This window comes from Homo sapiens, chromosome 2 (genome assembly GCF_000001405.40).
Source record: "Homo sapiens chromosome 2, GRCh38.p14 Primary Assembly".
NCBI classification, from domain to species: Eukaryota; Metazoa; Chordata; class Mammalia; order Primates; family Hominidae; genus Homo; species Homo sapiens.
The window spans coordinates 106,135,909-106,156,890 of record NC_000002.12 but is presented as its reverse complement, the minus strand read 5'-3'; the positions used below and the strand labels follow the sequence as shown (position 1 = coordinate 106,156,890).

At 42.2% G+C, this 20,982-nt stretch overlaps 1 protein-coding gene across 15 annotated transcripts in view, besides 1 other annotated feature; it reads left to right on the top strand.

Annotated features, from left to right (window-relative positions):
• UXS1 (UDP-glucuronate decarboxylase 1) overlaps nt 1-20,982 on the top strand; it is a 100,991-nt gene that overhangs the window by 37,411 nt on the left and 42,598 nt on the right. For 12 of the 15 annotated variants that reach the window (NR_045607.2, NM_001377505.1, NM_001377508.1 and 9 more), the window contains one exon: nt 11,521-11,701. The exons of 1 other annotated variant lie outside the window; for it this stretch is intronic. Coding sequence is in view for 11 of the 14 variants with exons in the window: in NM_001377505.1 (NP_001364434.1) it covers nt 11,521-11,701 (181 nt within the window). In the remaining 3 variants the exon portion in view is untranslated. Of the gene's footprint in view, nt 1-11,415; nt 11,702-18,009; nt 18,717-20,982 lie in introns of those variants that run through there. 2 more of the 15 variants (NR_165308.1, NM_001253876.2) reach the window with 2 other exon arrangements.
• Nucleotides 13,024-13,318: a silencer, noted in NCBI's record as "tiled region #936; K562 Repressive non-DNase unmatched - State 15:Elon". NCBI's record gives its function as "represses a minimal TATA promoter and a strong SV40 promoter by Sharpr-MPRA in K562 cells {active_cell/tissue: K562}" and the evidence as "EXISTENCE:reporter gene assay evidence [ECO:0000049][PMID:27701403]".

Sequence of the window (20,982 nt, the reverse complement as noted above, 5' to 3'; positions counted from 1 at the left end):
ATATACCACAGTTTATTTATACAGTAGGCCCTCCATATCTGTGGTTTCCTTATCCGTGGATTCAGCTAACCACGAATCGAAAATGTAGTTAGGTGCACAATGGTTATGGCTGTACTGAACATGTGCAGACTTTTTTTCAGGTTATTATTCCCTAAACAATACAGTATAACATTTTTACATAACATTTACATTGTATTAGGTATTATAATTATCTAGAGATGATTTAAAGTATACAGGCGGATGTGTGTGGGTTATATGCAAATACTACACTATTTTATATGCGGAACCTGAGCATCTTTGCGTTTAGGTATGGGGGTGGGGTGCGGTCCTGGAACCAATTCCTTGTGGATACTGAGGGATGACTGTACGTTTGTTATATGTGTCATAGGGTGACTCTCTTTAACCTTTTGAGGAACTGCTGTTTGCCAGAGCAGCTGCGCCATTGTACATTTCCACCAGCAGCATATGAGTGTTCCAGTTTCTCTACATCCTCAACGCCACTTCTTATTGTCTGTCTTTTTGATTGTAGCCTTTCTACTGGGTGTGAAGTGATATCTTTTTGTGGTTTGGATTTGCATTTCTCTGATAGCTCATGGTGTTGAGCATCTTTTTGTGTGCTTATTGGTCATTTCTGTATCTTCTTTGGAGAAATTTCTATTAGATATTATCCTATTCTTTAATTGGGTTATTTTTCTTTTCATCATTGAATTAAGTTCTTTATATATTCTTAATTCAAGTTTCTTATCAGGTATATTATTTGTAAATATTTTATCTCATTCTGTGGGTTCTCTTTTTACTTTCTTGATGACATTCTTTGAAGCACAAATGCTTTAAATATGGATAAAGTCTGTTTTTTTCTCTTGCTGCTTGTACTTGGATGTCATATTTAGGAAATCTTGCCTAAACTAAGGGCACAAAGATTTACCATGTTTTTTTCCTAAGAGTTTTATAGATTTTGTTCTTAAATTTAGGCCTGTGATCCATTTTGAGCTAATTTTTGAATAGGGTATTAGGTCATCATTCTTTTGGATATGGCTGTCCGGTTGTCCAGCACAATTTGTTGAAAAGACTATTCATTGCCCATTGAATTTTCCTGGCACCCTTGTTGAAAATAATTTTACCGTAAATGTACAGTCAAGCATCACTTAACAGTGGGGATACATTCTGAGAAATGCATTATTAAGTGTTTTTGTTGTTGTTCTGTGAGCATCATAGAGTGGACTTACACAAACCTCGATGGTACAGCCTGCTACACACTTAGGCTACATGGTATGACCTATTGCTCATATGCTACAAATCTGTACAGCATGTTGCTATACTGAATACTGTAGGTAGTTATAACAAAGATAAGTATTTGTGTTCATCTGTGTAGGCCACTTACCACAAATGGAGCTTGCAGGACTAGAATTTGCTCTAGGTGAGTCATTGAGCGAATGCCTTGTAATTAACTAATTTCCTATTTGGTACCTTTCCCTTCTTTTTCCTTCTGGAATCCATTTACTATTTGGGGTCACTTGCTTTCAGCCTAAAGAACATCCTTTAGTATTTCTTGTGTGGTAGGTCTGCTAGCAATGAACTCTCTCATTTTTTGTTTATCTAGGGATATCTTATTTTTGGTCGTATATAAGATTCTTGACTGCCAGTTTATTTTTACACTTTAAATATGTTGATAGAGTTCGGATGTTTGTTCCAGCCTCCCAATCCCATGTTGAAATTTGATCTCCAGTGTTGGAGGTGGGGCCTAGTGGGAATTATTTGGGTCATGGGGACAGATCCATCATGAATGGCTTGGTGCACACCCCACTGTAATGAGTTCACACAAGACCTGATTGTTAAAAAAGAGTATGGGACCCCCTTCTTCTCCCTGTCTTGCCACGTGACATGCCTGCTCCCCCTTAGCCTTCTACTATGATTGAAAGCTCTCCGAAGCCCTCAGCAGAAGCAGATGCTGGAGCCATGCTTCATGTACAGCCTGCAGGACCGTGTGCCAAATAAACCTCTTTGCTTTATAAATCACCCAGCTTCAGGTATTCCTTTATGGCAGCACAAAATGAACTAATACATGTGCCATCCACTGCTTTCTCCATTGTTTGTTGTAATGAGCCAGCAGTTAATCATACTGGGGTTCCCTTACATGTGACAAGTCATTTTTCTTTTTCTGCCATATGAATTTCCTAGGACTTGCAGTTACCACCATCTGAGTGGTTTAAAACAACATAAATTTAATCCCTCACAGTTCTAGAAGCTAGAAGTCTGAAATCAAGATGTCAGCAGGGCCATGCCTATGCCCCTCTGAAGGCTCTGAGGGGAGTTTTTTCCATGCTTTTCTCCCAGCTTCTCGTATTGCCAGCAATCCTTGGTGTTCTTTGGCTGGTAGAGGCATCACTCTAGTCTCTGCCTCCAGCAGCACATGGGTCTTTGCATGCCTTTAGTATTGGATTAAAGTCCCACCCTAATCCAGTATAACCTTATCTTAACTAAATATGTCTGTAGGGGCTCTATTTTCAAATAAGGTCACATTCTGAAGCTCTGGGACAGACATAAACTTTGTAGGACAGTATCCAACCTAGTACATCTGTTTTCAAAATCTTATCTTGTCTTTGGTTTGCGGGATTTCTAGAATGATGTGTCTGTGTGCATCTATTTTTGTTTGTGTTTATCCTAATTGCAGTTCATTGAACTTCTTGAATATATACATTTATATGTTCATCAATTCTGGGGAGTTTTCAGCCATTATTTCTTTGAATATATTTTGTATTCCTTTCTCTTTTCTGATACTCCCAGTGCAGCATGCATGTTGATGCACTTATTGGTGTCCTGTATTTGTCTGAGGCTCTGTTTAGTTTCCTGCATTTCCTCTGATCTTTGGGTTGCATAAGCCCTTTCAGTCCAAGTTTGCTGATTCTTTAGCCTAGTTCCAATTGACTGTTGAATCCCTTTGTTGAATTTTTAGTTTCAACTGTGGTATTTTTCAACTCCAGAATTCAATTTGTTTCTATTTTGTAATCTCTCTTTATTATCTATGTACTTCTTTAAGCATGGTTTCCTTTCGTTCTTTGAACACTTGCCATAACTTTTAATGGCAAAAACTGCAATTGCTTTTGCACCAACCTAATATTTACAGTGGTTGCTTTGGTGTCTTTGTTATATCCAACACCTGGGACTTCACACAGACAGTTTTTATTGCTTTGTTGTTTTTTCTGTTTATGGGTCACCCATTTCTGTTTCTTTGCATGTCTTGTAATTTGTTGTAGAAAACTGGGCATTTTAGGTAGTATATTGTAGCACTTCTGGATACTGTGCCCTCATCCCAACCCCCACCTTCCCCAACTTGTTTTATTTTATTTATTTATTTATTTGTTTAGTGACTTCTCTGGTCTACTTTAGTGAAGTGTTTCCTATTCCGTCCCCGCCACTCCAGTGTGAAGCTTTAACTGTTGTTCCTTGGAGGATGTAGCCTTGGCCAAACCCCCTGGGATGATGGTGGGTCTAACAGGCTCATGCTGACAGTCTCTTTCCCTGATTTCTCTATTAAGCCTGTGCAGTATCTCACCCAGCTGTTAGGCTGCAGTGGTTGCTAGCTAATTGCTTTATTTTTCAACAATGCTGTGGGTTTTAAATTGCTCTTCAGCCTGATCCAGTTAAATTCTATCCCCTTGGCAGGGGTAGATTTTGAGACCAGTCTTTGAGATTTGTTCTGACCCCAGGAGGTTTCTTAAGTGTCCTCTCCTTGGTTCTCTCTGTTAAACAAGCTGGCCTCGGATTTAGCTTTTTATTCTCATAGATCTATTGCCTTCTATTTATTGCTTACCATCTGCATCTCCCTTGTTCTTGAGAGCACCCTTATATTTGACTTTCTCTTTCAAATAAAGTCAACTCCCTTTAGGGAGAGCTTTTGAGTGCACTGTTTTCAGTACCTCTGTCCCCCAGGAAAACCTCTGAACCACTGCCCTGGTGCTGGGGTGGGAGCAACACCTCTGTTTTATAATCAGGGTGCTGTAGCCCCTGATTTTTTTTCCTTGCCCCTCTTGGCATGGAACTTCTCCCTTCTAAGCAAGTTGGGGCAACCGTGACTGGAATCCTATTATTCTCAGCCTTCCCTGTCTAGGAAGTACTGCTAAGTGGCCCTTCCTGTTGAGATACCATATCTTTTGAGTGGGGTTCTCATTTTCTTGGCCACACCCAGCACATTCCCCACTCTAAACTGTGGGGATGGACTCAAGTGTTGCAGACTCTTGCTGTTCTTACTTAATTTTATATTTTCTTTCTTTCCTCTTTTCTCTTCTTTTTTCTTTTCTTTTCTTTCTTTCCTTTCCTTCCTTTCCTTCCTTTCTTTCTCCCTTTCTCTCTCTCTTTTCTTTCTTTTCTTTTCCCTCCCTCCCTCCCTCCCTCCCTCTCTCCCTCCCTTCCTTCCTTCCTTTCTTTTCTTTCTTTTCTTTCTTTTCTTTCCTCACTTTGTCACCCAGGCTGGAGTGCAGTGGCATGATCTTGGGTCACTGCAACCTCCACCTCCTGATTTCAAGCGATTCTCCTGTCTCACCCTCCCAAGTAGCTGGGATTACAGGTGTGCTCCACCATGCCCAGCTAATTTTTGTATTTTTAGTAGAGGTGGGGTTTCACCATGTTGGCCAGGCTGGTCTTGAACTCCTGACCTCAGGCTATCTGTCCACCTCAGCCTCCCAAAGTGAATTTTATATTTTCTTGAATACATGTTACTTCATTTGCTGTACGTGCTTAGCACAATTTCCAGAGACTTTTAATGGTTATTTAAAAAAATAATTTGGACCACTTATGGTTGTTTCCTTGGGGAACAGGTCTGTGGAGCACTTTACACTGCAATTCTACAAGAAATGATTTATATATGACCTTGATGTTGAAATGACTAGTACACAGGTTGTTTTGTTCTTTTACCCATCACCTAGGCTGTAGTACTGTGCATCCCTAAAATATTATTGTCACTCCTGAATCGATATTAGACTGTTACCCCATATAATCTCTCTGTTCTTCTGGAAGTTATAGAAGTCTCTTGCCTTTTTGAGATGGCTTACATAACTCTCGCTGTGAGCAGACTCTGAAGTCTGTTAATACTTGTATGTCCCTCTTTTGAGGTTATTTCTATTGCATCAAAAAGGTATATGCATTTGAGCATGAATTTGGAAATAAGTGTCTCAAGTAGCATAGAAAAGTTAATTTTTTTAATGTTTTGTTGCCATGTTGTCAGATTGATCACAAATCTGATAGTCTACTTTTCTTAGTTTGTTTTGTGCCGCTGTAACAGATTACCACAGACTGGGTAATTTATAAGTAGAAAGGTATTGGCTTATGATCTGGAGGCTGGCAAGTGCAATATCAAGGGGCATTCTTGCTGCGTCATCCCGTGGCAGAAGGGCAGAGAGTGGATGAGAGAGACAAAGGGGACCTAACTCATTCTTTTACACATAACCCACTGCCGCAATAATGACGTAAATTCATTCATGAGGGTGGGGCCCTCATAGCCCAATAACTTCTCATTAGGCCTCACCTCCCAATACTGTTGCATTGGGAATTAAGTTTCCAGCACATGATTTTGGGGGTACACATTCAAACCCATAGCATTCTGGCTGCCGTCTCTAGAATTTATGTCCTTCTTACATGCAAAATGTATTTATTTCATCCCAATAGCCCAGCATTTTAACTTGTTCCAGCACCAACTCGAAAGTCCAAAGTCTCATCTAAACATCATTTGGGAAAAATTCAAGACACGATTCATCCTAAGGCAAATTCCCCTTCAGCTATGGGCCTGTGAAATCAAAACAAGTTATCTACTTGTAAAATACAATGGTGGAACAGGCGTGGGATAAACATTCCCATTCCAAAAGAGAGAAATAGGAAAGAACAGGGTAACTGGTCCCAAGTAAGTCCAAAACCCAACAGGGCAAACAAGATCAAATCGTAATGCTCCAGATAATCTTTCTTGACTCCATGGCCTGAGTCCTGGGTACGCTGGGGTGGGGGTTGGACCTCCAAGGCCTCTGGGAGCCCCAGCCTTGTGGCTTTGTTGGTCTCAGTCCACCTGGCTGCTCTCGCGAGTTGGAGTTCTGTGCCTGTAACTTCCTTAGGCTGGTGTTACATGCTGGTAGCTTTACAGTTCCGGAGTCTTTGTGGCAGCTGTATCACCGCAATGAGTCTCTGCCTACCCCCCGCCACCTCCCACCCTGTCCCGGGCTATTTGTGACATCCTTTGAAATCTAGTTGGAAGAAGCCATGTTCTCATGGCTCTTGCATTCTGCACACTTGCAGAATTAGAGCACCACGTGGACACCACCAAGGTTTACAGCCTATATCTTCCGGAGCGGTAGCTTGAGCTGCACCTGGACTGGCCGGAGCCACAGCTGTGCTGGCTGAGGAATGCTAAGGGGAGCAGAGACTTGTGGCAGCACAGGGCAATGAATGGTGACCTCGAGCACCTCTCTGGAAACGTTGGCCTCAAGGTCTCAGCTTGCCTGGAGGATTTCTGAAATGCCTTCAGGGTCATTCTCCCATTGTCTTAAGGGACAGAACCTGGCTTCCTTCTAACCATACTACTCTGTGTATCAAAGGGTCAATTGTCTGCACTCTTGCACACTTTTTCATTCTTTATATGGTAAGGCTGGGGACTTAAAAAATTTTTTTTGTTCTGTTTCCCTTTTAGTTATACAATCTGTCTTTAAATCATTTTTCTCTTCCCTTGTTTTACTCTATGTAGTTAAAAGAAGCCATGCAATTCTTTTAATATTTTGCTTAGAAATTTCTTCCACCAGATGTCCTAGCTCATGGCTTGTAAATTTTGCCTTCATAAAGCCAGAGGACACAGACACATTTCAGCCAAGTTCTTTGCCACTTTGTAACAAGGATAGCCTTCACTCCAGTTTCCAGTGGTATGTTCCTCATTTCCATCTGAGACCTCATCAGAATGGCCTTTACTGTCCATATTTCCACAATTGTTCTGATCACAACCATGTTACAGGTAATCTCTAAGAAGTTCTAGACTTCCCCCACAGCTCTTCTCTTCTGAGGCCTCACCACTGTTTCTTTAACACTCCATTCACAGAAGTCTAGGCTTTTTCTAGCATGCACCTCCAGATTCTTCCAGCCTCTACTCATTACCTAGTTCCAAAGCTTTTTCCACATTTTCAGGTGTTTGTATAAGCATCATCCCACTTCTCTGGTACCCATTTTCTGTCCTAGTCCTTTTTGTGCTGCTATGACAGAGTACCTAAGACTGGGTAATTTATAACAAATTTATTGGCTCATGGTTCTGGAGGCTGGGGAGTCCAAGATCAAGGGGTTGTGACCTGGTGAGGGTCTTCTTGCTATGTCATCACGTAGTGGATGGGTAAAGAGAGAGCAAGAGAGAGACCAAAGGGACTGAACTCGTGCTTCTATGTGGAACACACTTCCACGATAACACACTCACTCCTCTGATAATGGCATTAATCCATTTACTTCACCTCATGGCCTAATCACCCCACCTTTTAACACTGTTGCACTGGGGATTAAATTACCAAAATGTGCTTTTGGTGGACACGTTAAAAGCACAGCAGCACTGTTACAGGAATGCTGCAAAATCTTGCCATGAATTTTATTATGTGCACATGGAATGATCTTCCTGTCGATGCTGAGTATTATAGAATTTATTTTGCTTTACACATCACCACAGCAAACAGACTTAGTTTTTTTTTTCCCCTCATCTGCCATCTCATAGGTTAAGCACATTTCTGAGGCATTTGGCATGTGAGTCTGGTATATTGTTGCTATAACTTAAAGCCTTTTCAGTAAATTGGTAAGCCTTAGGACAGCTTCAACAGAAAGAGGAGACTTGCTTTGAAATACATTTTTTGATTTTTTGCTAATTTGCTAAGCATCATGAGTTTGACTGCTGACCTTGAACTAGACCACTTTAGCTGCCTATTGGCACCCACAAGAGCGAGCAAGAAAGCACACTGAGACAAACCCCTATACTGGAAAGCCATGCAAAGCCGTGTAAGTTCTAATCCATCTCAGTGTAAGAGGTCTTACTTCTTTTCTCCTGTTCTCTTTTGGGTATTAGCTCCTTGTTATTCAAAGAATATCCTTGGGTTTGGTGATTAGTGTTCCTGATAGAGCTTTGTAAGTGCTAAGCTTTCACCAAATTTGTTTCTATTTGAAACACTTGCCTAATGGGCTAACATTGATTAGGATAAAAAATTGCATAACCATCCAGCTATATTATATAAATCTTAAGTATTTTAGGTAGAAGGAAATTACTTCAGAAAAAAAAATTCCAGTGCATTTTAGTCAAGCTAAGGTGCTTCCAACAATTTTACGTCAGTACTAAGACTAGTGAGATGTTGGAGATGATCATGTGTAATTTAATACGCTGCATCTCTGATATCTCAGAACTGTCTGCCAGGTATTTTGGGTGCAGAGATAATGTTAGAGTGCCACTGAACATTTTGTTTTCAGAAATATTTGCATATAGAGAAACAGTTATGTTAAAAGGGGTTACATTTCTTTTTAAAAGTTGCAAGTTTTTAAATGTAAAAATCATGGAAAACTTGGAAAAAATGCAATAACGTGAAGATAAAATGAAATCTCATCCCGTGAGTTAAGCTCTAGTGGTGAGTCAACTTTGAATTTCAATTATTTTTCTGGAAAATCGTTTTTCATAGTCATTGTTCAGGTATAGCAGTAGAATGTGGGAGCTCTTAAGATGAAACACGAACCAGACAAATTGACAGGCAGTAGAGAGCGTGTAATTAGAAAGACTGTAGCTTTAGTGTGTCCCAGCTAGTGATCTCTGAGGATTTTAGTCAAAGACGTAACTTCTCTGGGTGTCAGTTTCTTATCTTGAAGGCAAAGGGGATTTGGAAAATGGTGCTGTTGGTAAAGCCAAATGAAAGCTATCGAGCATGAGGATGCCTGGTCTCACCCATCCTGTCTTAACCATTTGATTTGCATTTCATCAGAGCATATGTAATATCTATGTGGTGGTTAAGGGATGGTTATTCTTGAGGTTGGCCTTGTTAACTGAAAAACCAAACTCTAAAATATTTTAGAGGTGTATTATGATCCAGTATGAGTAACTGCAGCCCCAGGAAACACAAAACCAAGAAGCCTTGAGTAAGTGTGCCCGAGGCAGGCGGATTAGTTTAGTTTTATACATTTTAGAGAGGCAGAAGTTACAAGGAGGTATAAATCAATATATAGGGCTTTTACATTGGTTTGGCCCAAAAAGACAGGCTATTTTGAAGTGGGGGCTCACAGGTATAGGCGGGTTAAGAGATTCTGTATTTTATTTTATTTATTTTGAGACAGGGTCTCTCTCTGTCACACAGGCTGGAGTGCAGTGGCACAATTGCCACTCACTGCAGCCTTGACCTCCCTGGCTTTAGAGATTTTTTACTTTGTAATTGGTTAAAGGAGTAAATCTTTGTGTAAAACTTTGGAGTCAGCAGAAAGGAATCTAAGTTATGACAAGGAAGTCTGTTCACCAATACACTGGGTCAGAATGACTTGGAGGGATGTGACTTAGCTCCTGTCTGGCACGACCCTAGGTCCTGTTTATGATCTCTGTTTTAATATTAACGTTGGTCAGTTGTGTCTAAATTCCAAAAGAGAAAGTATAGTGAGGCATGTCCAATCTCCTTTCACATCACTGCTGGGAACTCAGCTTTTCAGGTTTCTCTGGGGTTCCGTTTGGCCAAGAGGGGGCCCACTCAGTTGGGGGACTTAGGATATTTATTTATTTATGAGACAGAGTCTCGCTCTGTCACCCAGGCTGGAGTGCAGTGGTGTGATCTCAACTCACTGTAACCTCCACCTCCTAGGTTCAAGTGATTCTTGTGCTTCAGCCACCATAGTAGCTGGGATTACAGGCGTGTAGCTAATTTTTGTATTTTTAGTAGAGACGGGGTTTCACCATGCTGCGCAGGCTAGTCTTGAACGCCTGGCGTCAAATGATCCAGCCACCTTGGCTTCCCAAAGTGTTGGGTACAGGCATGAGCCACTGCACCCAACCCAAATTTCATTTTTAGTTTATAGCCTCCCCTTACTTCTCCTCTGCCATTTTTGATCTTTTTCATCCAGATGGCTTCTTTTTTTTTTTTTTTTTTTTTTTTGAGATGGAGTCTTCTCTGTCACCCAGGCTGGAGTGCAGTGGTACGATCCACTGCAACTTCCGCCTCCTGGGTTCAAGTGAGTCTTCTGCCTTAGCCTCCCAACTAGCTGGGATTACAGGAGTGTGCCACCACGCCCAGCTAATTTTTTGTATTTTTAGTAGAGACAGGGTTTCACCATGTTGGCCCGACTGGTCTTGAACTCCTGATCTCAAGTGATCCACCTGTCTCGGCCTCCCAAAGTGCTGGGATTACAGGCATGAGCTACCACTCCACTCAAATCCAGGTGGCTTTACTCTCTCACCGTGGTGAATACTTCATCGTGTGTGAGATTTCATTTATTTTAAACAGGAGTTTCATGGAGAATTACATGTTTTAAAACCATAGACCTAGGAGTTTGTATACCTTTTATTTTAGGTAGAAAGGATTGCTGTCTTCCTATTAATACTTTCCGTTTGAAACAGAAGGGTGAAATGAATGAGAATTTTGGTGAAGAGAAGGCAGAGTGGAGAACAGGATACAGCAGGCTAGAGAATTGAGTTGTGCATGGCACGTCTGTTTTCTGAGCCTATTCTTTTCACTCCCACCGCCTATAACCTTCCCCCAGATGAAATTCCCTTTATCCTCCTCCAGTTACACCATTTAATTTGAATAAAATACCTGTGTTCAACTTAAAAGTATTTTTCAAGCGCAGTTGACTTTTCACCTTTGCAGGGGTCTAGGTTTTGTTATTACTGAGTTACCGTCAAGACCCCTCACAGCTGCCTCATCGTGCTCTGTGGCTGGGAGTGTATACCACACTGGGTTCACATCACCATTCAGAAATTAACCACACAGTGGACTTAGGCGTTTAGGGCTTTAGTCTACAAACAGCATGTATTGCTTATTAATTTGTTCTCATAAACAATTTAAAAGATATTTGTTTTTCCTGCAGTTTTTGAATCTAACTTAAATATTAAGTTTTTTTTTCTTGGTAGTTCACCAAATCTCTGCATTTTGCTAATCGTTTTTTCTATAAAGTAATTTTTAAAGTTCTCAGCAGTAATATTAAAGCCACGTGAGCTATGTCCAGCATCCCATTTGTTATAAAACAAGAACCTTTGACTAATGGGAAATTCTCAGTCAGCAAAGACATTTTGAAATTTGTAACTATGATTTTTCTGTATTCTTCCAAGACTGGTAGTTTGAAATTTTAGGCTGCTTAGGAGTTTACAGATAGTATGACCTCTTTGTTCTGCAGTAAGAGTCAAGATGCTACCTTAAAACCTTTGCTGTCTTCCTTCCCCGCCTTGCTCCTGAGTTTTAAGTCGTGGCTGCACCAGAGATGTCTCTCCGTGGAGCTGGTCCTCACTGTGTTCTCATGTGCTTTTTCTGGGAATGCTCTGCACACGCTGTCCGGATGCAGATAACAGGAGGCGCAGGGTTCGTGGGCTCCCATCTAACTGACAAACTCATGATGGACGGCCACGAGGTGACCGTGGTGGACAATTTCTTCACGGGCAGGAAGAGAAACGTGGAGCACTGGATCGGACATGAGAACTTCGAGTTGATTAACCACGACGTGGTGGAGCCCCTCTACATCGAGGGTGAGTGAAAACTGCACATTGTTATTATTCAGAGCTCCGCAGGTGGCCTTGCCAGAGCTGCGGGATTCCTGAGGGTAAGCTGTTTGACTCAGCACATTGAAAGCTATGTTGGGTTTTATTTTTGAAATGTCTCAATATGTATGAGGTGCCGTCCTAGTCTGTGTGATAACGAGTGGTTATAACAGTGTGAATAGCCGTCTTCTCTCCTACGTGGCACCCCTGGTCCTGAACTTCATGGACCTGTTGAAGTAACTTTCCTGTAGTACACATCTGCTGTGGTCTGAATGTTGGTGTCACCCCAAATTCATATGTTGGCATCCCAAGCCCCACAGTGATGGTATTAGGAGGTGGGGCCTTTGGAGGTGATGAGTTCATGGAGACAGAGTCGTCACAAATGAGATTAGTGTTTTTATAAAAGAGGCCTGGGAAAACCCCGTTGGCCTTTCCACCGTGTGAGGACGTGGCGAGAAGATGCATATATGAACCAGGAAGCAGGTCCTCACCAGCACCCAATCTGCCAACCCCTTGATCTTGCTAATTTGATAGAAAACCATTGGTTCAATGTACATTTCTTTGGTTACTAAATATGGTTAGAATTTAACATGTTAATTCACCAGAGAAATACCAATGGTTTTGTTAGTCCATTTTAAAAATATTCTTTTAGTATGAGTTCTTTGTAATAGGAATGTTAACTGTTGGGCTTGTATTTAGCATTTTTCCCACAAAGGCAAAAAGTTTTTGCCTTTTCGTTTGAGTGACATTTTATAACATAGTTTCATCTGTTCATATTCTTCTTGCTGTTTCTTCTGTTCTCTTTCTGCTCTAACCGTTCCAAGATGAGATGAATATTTAATCTAATATTTAGAAAGCAGCCATGGTGTTAATTTTGTTGGTTGGTTTTTTGCTTCATTTTTAAACGTTTAATTATGTAATCTGTTTAGGATTCATTTTGGAGTGAAGCTGTAGTTTTTGTAAAGTATAACAGGCTATGTAGATTATAGCTCAGTGGGCTCACTTTCCTCTTGGATTTCCTCCTGGGATTGCTGTGGGGTTAACTGAGGTCATACATGTGACAGGGCCTGGCAAGCAGATTCTCACAGTTCCCTGCTAAGATGCCCTTTCCCATTGTTCAACCCAAGATGCTAGGTGGTGCTGTCACAGGACTTTGCTGATAGAATCAAGGTTATGAACCAGCTGGCTTTAAAATGAGGATGATCCTGGATTATCTGGGTGTGCCCCCACATAGTCACATGAACCGTCAAAGGCAGCAACAGAGAATGGAAGAGTCAGGTAGAGAGACTGGGTAGAAGAGATACCGCGGGGAGACCAGGCAGAAGGGAAGCTGGAGAGGTTTGCAGTGTGCAAGGGACCTGACCTACCCTGGCTGGCTTTGAAGGAGCCATGTGCGGGAGAGTGTTGGCAGCCTCTGGAAGCTGAGAATGGCTCCCTGCTGAGAGCCTGTAAGGAGACCTCAGTCCTGCAGCCTCAGGGAACTGAATTTTGCTGTCATCCTGAATCATCCTCTGAAGAAAGGAACACAGCCCTGCTGACACCTTGATTTCTGCCTGGGGGCAGGCAGAGCTGAGAACCAGCTGAGCCATACTGTGCCCGGTCCTGTAGACCTGTCAGATCGGATCGTGAATGGATATTTTTTGAGCCTCTAAATTTGATTAGGCAGCAATAGAAAACTACTGTGAGGACTTAGCACAGCACTGGGCCCTCATTTCACTAAGTGCTGCCCAAATTATACCTTTTTTTTTTTTTTTTTTTTTTTTTTTTTTGAGACGGAGTCTCTCTCTGTTGCCCAGGCTGGAGTGCAGTGGCACGATCTCAGCTCATTGCAAGCTCTGCCTCCCGGGTTCACGCCATTCTCCTGCCTCAGCCTCCTGAGTAGCTGGGACTACAGGCACTTGCCACCATGCTGGGCTGATTTTTTGTATTTTTTAGTAGAGACGGGGTTTCACCCTGTTAGCCAGGATGGTCTCCATCTCCTGCCCTCATGATCCGCCCACCTTGACCTCCCCCAAATGATACCTATTAATATTACTACTCTCTTCTCTTTTTTAGCACATGGCAAGAAACATTTATTTTATGACACTATTGTTTATATAATTTCAGTACCACTGAGAAGCCAGAACTTAGTAAAAATGGTGTTTTAATAAGTAAATTATCTTCTTTAACTGCGAGCTTTGATACCAAAGCTGCTCTAGGCCATTTCTGCCAATTCTGTGACTGTGTGTAGGACACACACACACACACACACACATACATGCAAACACACACACCCACACACCCACACATTGAATGAAGTCATACAATAAATGACTGGTGCTTTGTCCTTTGCTCAGAGTATTGCGTTCCCTCAGTTGGCATTTATGTTGGGAGAGCATAAGATGCTTCTCTGCCTCTGTGGTTTGAAGCCTGTTTTTCACTTTCTCCTTCAGCGGGTCCTCAACCTTGGCATCAGGTCTTCTGTGCCCTTGATAATTTCCCCCTTGCTGCCCTCCATCTCTTCACTCTTTCTGCCCTCACAATGCCCACTTCATCCAACAATGCCAGAATGCACCTTCCTTTGAAGCCCACATGGAACATTCTCCAAGACTGATCATATTCTCAGCCATAAAAGACACCTCAGCCAACCTGAAAGAATAGAGTGCTATAAAGTGTCCTCTCAGACCAGAGTGGAATTACACTAGAAATTAGTAACAGAAAGATATCTGGAAAATTACAAAAATATTTAGTGATGAAACAACAAACTTCTACATAAGATATGAGACAAAGGAAAAATCTCAAGAGAGATTAAACATACTTTGAACTAAATGAAAGAATTAGGTTTCTTGTTTATATATTTGATAAAGAATGAGATGGAAGAGAATCTGAAATATTTTTCTCTTTTCAAAAGAAACTTTTTTCCTGATGATGAAAATAATACATACATGTTAAAGAAAATATAGAAAGGTATTTTACAAAGCAAATAGAAAATTATTTTTAATCTTTCTATAAACTGTTGAGGAAGTTGGCTGGGCATGGTGGCTCACACCTATAATCCCAGCACTTTGGGAGGCCAAGGAGGGTGGATCATTTGAGCTCAGGAGTTTCAGTCCAGCCTGGGCAACGCGGTGAAACCCAGTCTCTACCAAAAATACAAAAAGTTAGCTGGGCATGCTTGTGCATGTCTGTGGTCGCAGCTATTCAGGAGGCTGAGGCATGAGAATCGCTAGAACCCAGAATGTGGAGGTTGCAGTGAGCCAAGATAGTGCCGTTGCACTCCAGCCTGGGTGACAGAATAAGACCTCATCTCAAAAAAAAAAACCAAAAAAAAAACACTGAAGCTAACATCCAGTTGTTTTCCTAAATGTGATTTTTTTTCCAATTAAAAACATGCTTAATAGGTAATATGGTTATATGGTTCAATTATTTTAAAAAATAAATGGAAAAGATGGCCGGGCACAGTGGATCATGTCTGTAATCCCAGTACTTTGGGAGGCTGAGGCAGGCAGATCGCTTGAGCCTAGGAGTTCCAGACCAGCCTGGGCAACATGGCGAAACCCTGTCTCTACAAAAATTACCCAGGCATGGTGGCATGCACCTGTGGTCCCAGCTACCCAGGAGGCTGAGGTGGGAGGATTACTTGAGCCCAGGAAGTTGAGGCTGCAGTGAGCCATGACTGCACCGCACTCCAGCCTGGGTGACAGAGTAAGACCCTGTCTCAAAAATAAATAAATAAACATAAAAATGGAAAAGATAAAACTGTAAAGTTAAAGTCTTCCTCTTGCCAGTTCTCAGCTCTCCTCAGGAAACAGCTGTTGATCCTTTCTTTGTATTCATCTGCAGTGTTTGTATGTGACCCAGCTAACACAAATAGGTATTTATAGTTCTCCCTTTTTATATAACCTATTATGTATTGTCCTGAATCTTATTTTCTTCCACTTACTGTGTCCTGGTGATCTTTCTATATCATATATAGAGACCTTTTTTGGCAGCTGCTTAGTGTTCCATTTTGTGGCTATACTAGCTAGATCTCTTTACCAAGACACGGGTTTTCCCTTCAGCATTACTTGTTAGCAAGTCGTCTTCTTATGAATATGTTGTAATTTCCTTAGTCCTGTGTTGTTGGATCTTTAGGTTGATTGCAGTTTGGGGCCATCATAAACCATGCTTCAGAAAGCCACACATCTGTGTCTCTGTCATCATTTTCATGGTACACTGGCTTTCCCAGGGTCCTGCTACAGAGCACCTGTGCTTCCCTGAAATGCTGTCCCAATTTACTTTTCCACCGTCTGTATAAACAGGGATCTTGAGACCAGCTTTTCCATGGGGAACAGGAAAAGGCAGAAATGTGCATTGTGTCGTGGGAAGACCAGTACCGGGAACTTGTAGTATCTCTGTTGAAGAGGTCCAGGAAAATAAAAGAAGAAAGTGACCATAGCTAACACTTAACTATATTCCAAATGCTATTCTAATCGCTGTTTATGGTTGGCAAGTTTAATTATGTCAATACCCGTGCGAAGTAGGCAGCTATTTTCTTCATTTTATAGGTGAGGAAACCAAGGCATGGAGCCCTTTCCATTACCTGCCTTTTACCTGGATGCTCAGTTGCTATGGAGGGCCGGGGGTGGGGGCACCAGGAGAGGGAAGATGGGAGAGCCAAGCCATCAACCCTGGGCACCCACCCTAAAGAGGAGGGGTGGAAACAGTGTTTGCCAAGGGGATTGAGTCCATGTTTATGTAGACATTTAAAGCATGCAGCTCTGATTAGAATATTTTTGTTGAAGTATCATTTAGAAATTTTTTTCTCAGCTTTCAGTTTATATTGCAAATGTAAATAAAACTGCAGTGGTGGCTCTTAGAGATCGCCCTCTGTTTAATTTGGAGCTGTTGGAGGCTTCCTATGGAGCAGCCTAGGACACTGAAAATTCTTTCCCCTGCGGTGGCTTCACAGGGAAGGTGAGCCCCTCGCTCAGAACAGTCGACAGCACTGGCGGGCAACCCCAGCTCCCGGGGGCTGAGCCAGTCTCTAGTGTGTGCAGCCTTTGCCCTAAGTAAATACATTTGACATGAAATGAAGGGAAAATCTTGCTGTTCTGCTTCTTTGTGCCGAGAGAAATTTGGTCTTTATACTTTGAGAAGTTCTGTATCTTCTTCATTCCTGTTTTCCATCCTAAATACTGGTTCTAGAGACAAAGACTAGGGCCATGCTGTGAGACTTCACATTGCAGAGAGGGACATCTCGTTGGGGAGTATTTCTGTAAGACCTCTGACTCAAGTGTAGAAAAAGAGAATTCTACTGTAAGTATCTTTTATGATGGGAATTTAGTATGTGCTAAATAATCGCGTGAGTTATCACAGAAAGAACTAACCCACTGTTTTGCGTTTTAGTGTTTCTATAGTCTTTAGTTTCATGGTACAAATCCTGAACTGGTCCTTGGCAGTTTCATACAGCATGGGTGTGGCACAGAATGAGGCTTGACACAGACTATGTCACTAACTTAAGACAAAATTAAAAAAGAAAATCAACAAAGGAGTGGAAGCTACAGTCAGTTTTTATGTGGATTTCCCCTTTGGTAGAAGAAAATGTCGATTTCTCCGATGTGTTCTGAACAGTGGTTTCAGGTTATCCCGAGTTGTTCTCCTCCTATGGTGATTTTTTTCTTCCCTATGTATGTGTCATTTATGTGGGTTTTGGGCACAGTGAAATTCAACCTAAGACCCTTTAGGGAGTTCATTTGTGGTTTGACTGGTTGAGTTTCCCCAGTCAGGATTCATAGAAGGGCCGAGTAAGTCGCAGCTGTGCCCTCACCCAGCCACTTCCCAACATAAGATTACCCTGCATGCTCTCTGGTAGGAATGCTGCTGATCATTAATTGGAGCTCTTTTAGGCTCATTTCTTGAGACTTCTATTTTTCTAGCTGAGCTCCCAGCACGTGGCCTTGTAAATGTGAAAGGTCGTGGCAGGGTCTCTAGCGGTCTCTGGAGCAACTGTGGGCACCCATGAATGGGCTGCCTTTCTGTCCCCCTTTGACTTCCTCTCCCCACCTCAGCTTGGATTTTGGAACGTCAGGCTCATGCTTGGTGTACTCTGAACTGTGCAGTTGACATGTTCCCAGGGCCTTTGTCCTGGGCTGTGAGGGTTAACCTTGCTGCTTTATTTATATTCCGAAGCCGGTTGTTATTAATGTTACTTACTGTTTACCTAGCACCTCTCATTGCTGGTTATTTGTCCCTGCTCTGAATTTCCCCTCTTCTCTCCCCTTCAGAATTTCTCACCAGATTATTTAACCAACAGACTCTGCTGCAGTGCCCTTTTTAGGATAGGAACTGGAGTTATTGTTAATGTTACAGGAAGAACACATTCTCAAAGGAGAGGGGGGTGGTGGGAAACTTTGATTTTCATAGGGTTTTCAGTTTCCTCTCAAATGGGAGGATGCAGCAGTGCCGCTACTTAACTGAACGTCTCGACAGTCTGATGGGGCGGCCCTCAGCCTTCCGGAGCAGCAGTGGGACTGACCTGTCCAGTGAGGAAGAAACACTGAACCAGATGGAATGGCCTTTGGGGATGGAAAAACCCCAGTTTACGCTCATCTCTTCTCTCAGCTAACTTTTGTGGAGCCCTGTTCCCAAACTGGCCTGGGCCAGAGCACCGTGGAGGGGTATTTGTTGTAAATGGAAGGTTTCCAGGCCCGCCTGGAAATCCTGAAGGGTGAGACCTGCAGTGGGCTCAGGAGTCTGCATTTGTGGGTGACCGAGGGGGCCTCCCCTCCCTCTAGAGTCCACACTGTGGAGAGCATCAGGAAGGGAAAGGCCTGCATCTTGTGCTCAGTGAGCTCATCGTCTAGTGAGGAAGGCATGTGTGAATCTCTGGACAAGGCAGCGCTGAGCTGTTGTGGACTAGTGGTGCAGGCAAGGGATTATTTCTGACCAAGGATGGTGAGAAGGTTTCCCATACAGACTGACGTCTGGATTGAGCTTTGAAGAAGAAAGCCAGGACTGGAGCAGACGACGAGGAGGGAAGAGTGTGAGGTTAATGATAGTGGCTTTCTGTTTGATGTCGGAGAGGCTTCCTGTACTCTCAAGGCACACTTCTTCCCTCTTAGCCTTTAATGCAGTTTCCTGTCTTTCCCTGCATACCTTGTCACCTCAAGAGTAAAGATAATGATGAATAATTTGTTGTGTAAGATCACAGCCCATACAGAGTTGTTTATACTCTCTTTGAGGAATGTAGGGTGACCCTGTCTGTGTAAGCAGAAATGCCCGTGAGTATAAGTCAGGTGGCAGCAGGCTCCAGGTCTAGCACACCTGAGCGGGCTCTGTGGTGTCGTACTCGGCTCTGAAGGTCTGGCCAGGTTCATTTTTTAAAATTTTAATTTTAATTTTTAAATTTTATTTATTTTTTTGAGACGGAGTTTTGCTCTTGTTGTCCATGCTGCGGTGCAATGGTGCCATCTTGGTTCACTGCAACCTCTGCCTCCCAGGTTCAAGTGATTCTCCTGCCTCACCTTCCCAAGTAGCTGGGATTACAGGTGCCTGCCACCACACCTAGCTATTTTTTTTTTTTTATATTTTTAGTAGAGACGGGTTTCACCATGTTGGCCAGGCTGGATTCGAACTCCTGACCTCAGGTGATCCACCCACCTCGGCCTCCCAAAGTGCTAGGATTACAGGTGTGAGCCATTGTGCCTGGCCCTCATTTGGTTTTCAACTTGGCACAGTCCTGCTCCAAAGTGGCAGTGGGTATGAGGAGGAATCTTCAGAGGAGGCAGCACAGTGCCTGTTTCTGGGGCTAATGGTCTGCTGCTTCTACCTGCAGCCCTGGAGCTTGGAAGTAGGTGTAGCAGGAACTGACCCGGTCTGTGCTGATCCTAGCTGGAAACTGCAAAAGATAGCTTGGCCTTAGAATTATGGGACTTTGTGAGAACTGATTTTTAAAAGGTATCTTGTTAAATTACAATTTGTATAATACAATATTAGTTTGTCTTTTATTTTTAGCTGTTTTTCAGCTCAGAATAACTTGTGGGGGTGGGAACAGCAGTCGCAGGATTTCCTTTTACTTGGACAGATCCTCTCAGCGAACTTGCATTTTGACAGACCATCAATAATTTTAAAGATTTTGTGTTTTGTTAGTTCTCTTTACAAAAAGATTATTCTTCCCATAAGCATTGGTTCTATTTCTAAATTAACTCACTGGTTTTCAGACTTGGCTTTCTTTTTTTTTTTTTTTTTTTTTGTGTGTGTTCTTGACTTCTCCATTCTTTTTTTTTTTCTTTTTTTATTATTATTATTATACTTTAAGTTTTAGGGTACATGTGCACATTGTGCAGGTTAGTTACATATGTATACATGTGCCATGCTGGTGCGCTGCACCCACTAACGTGTCATCTAGCATTAGGTATATCTCCCAATGCTATCCCTCCCCCCTCCCCCGACCCCACCACAGTCCCCAGAGTGTGATATTCCCCTTCCTGTGTCCATGTGATCTCATTGTTCAATTCCCACCTATGAGTGAGAATATGCGGTGTTTGGTTTTTTGTTCTTGCGATAGTTTACTGAGAATGATGGTTTCCAATTTCATCCATGTCCCTACAAAGGACATGAACTCATCATTTTTTATGGCTGCATAGTATTCCATGGTGTATATGTGCCACATTTTCTTAATCCAGTCTATCATTGTTGGACATTTGGGTTGGTTCCAAGTCTTTGCTATTGTGAATAATGCCGCAATAAACATACGTGTGCATGTGTCTTTATAGCAGCATGATTTATAGTCATTTGGGTATATACCCAGTAATGGGATGGCTGGGTCAAATGGTGTTTCTAGTTCTAGATCCCTGAGGAATCGCCACACTGACTTCCACCATGGTTGAACTAGTTTACAGTCCCACCAACAGTGTAAAAGTGTTCCTATTTCTCCACATCCTCTCCAGCACCTGTTGTTTCCTGACTTTTTAATGATTGCCATTCTAACTGGTGTGAGATGATATCTCATAGTGGTTTTGATTTGCATTTCTCTGATGGCCAGTGATGATGAGCATTTTTTCATGTGTTTTTTGGCTGCATAAATGTCTTCTTTTGAGAAGTGTCTGTTCATGTCCTTCGCCCACTTTTTGATGGGGTTGTTTGTTTTTTTCTTGTAAATTTGTTTGAGTTCACTGTAGATTCTGGATATTAGCCCTTTGTCAGATGAGTAGGTTGCGAAAATTTTCTCCCATGTTGTAAGTTGCCTGTTCACTCTGATGGTAGTTTCTTTTGCTGTGCAGAAGCTCTTTAGTTTAATTAGATCCCAT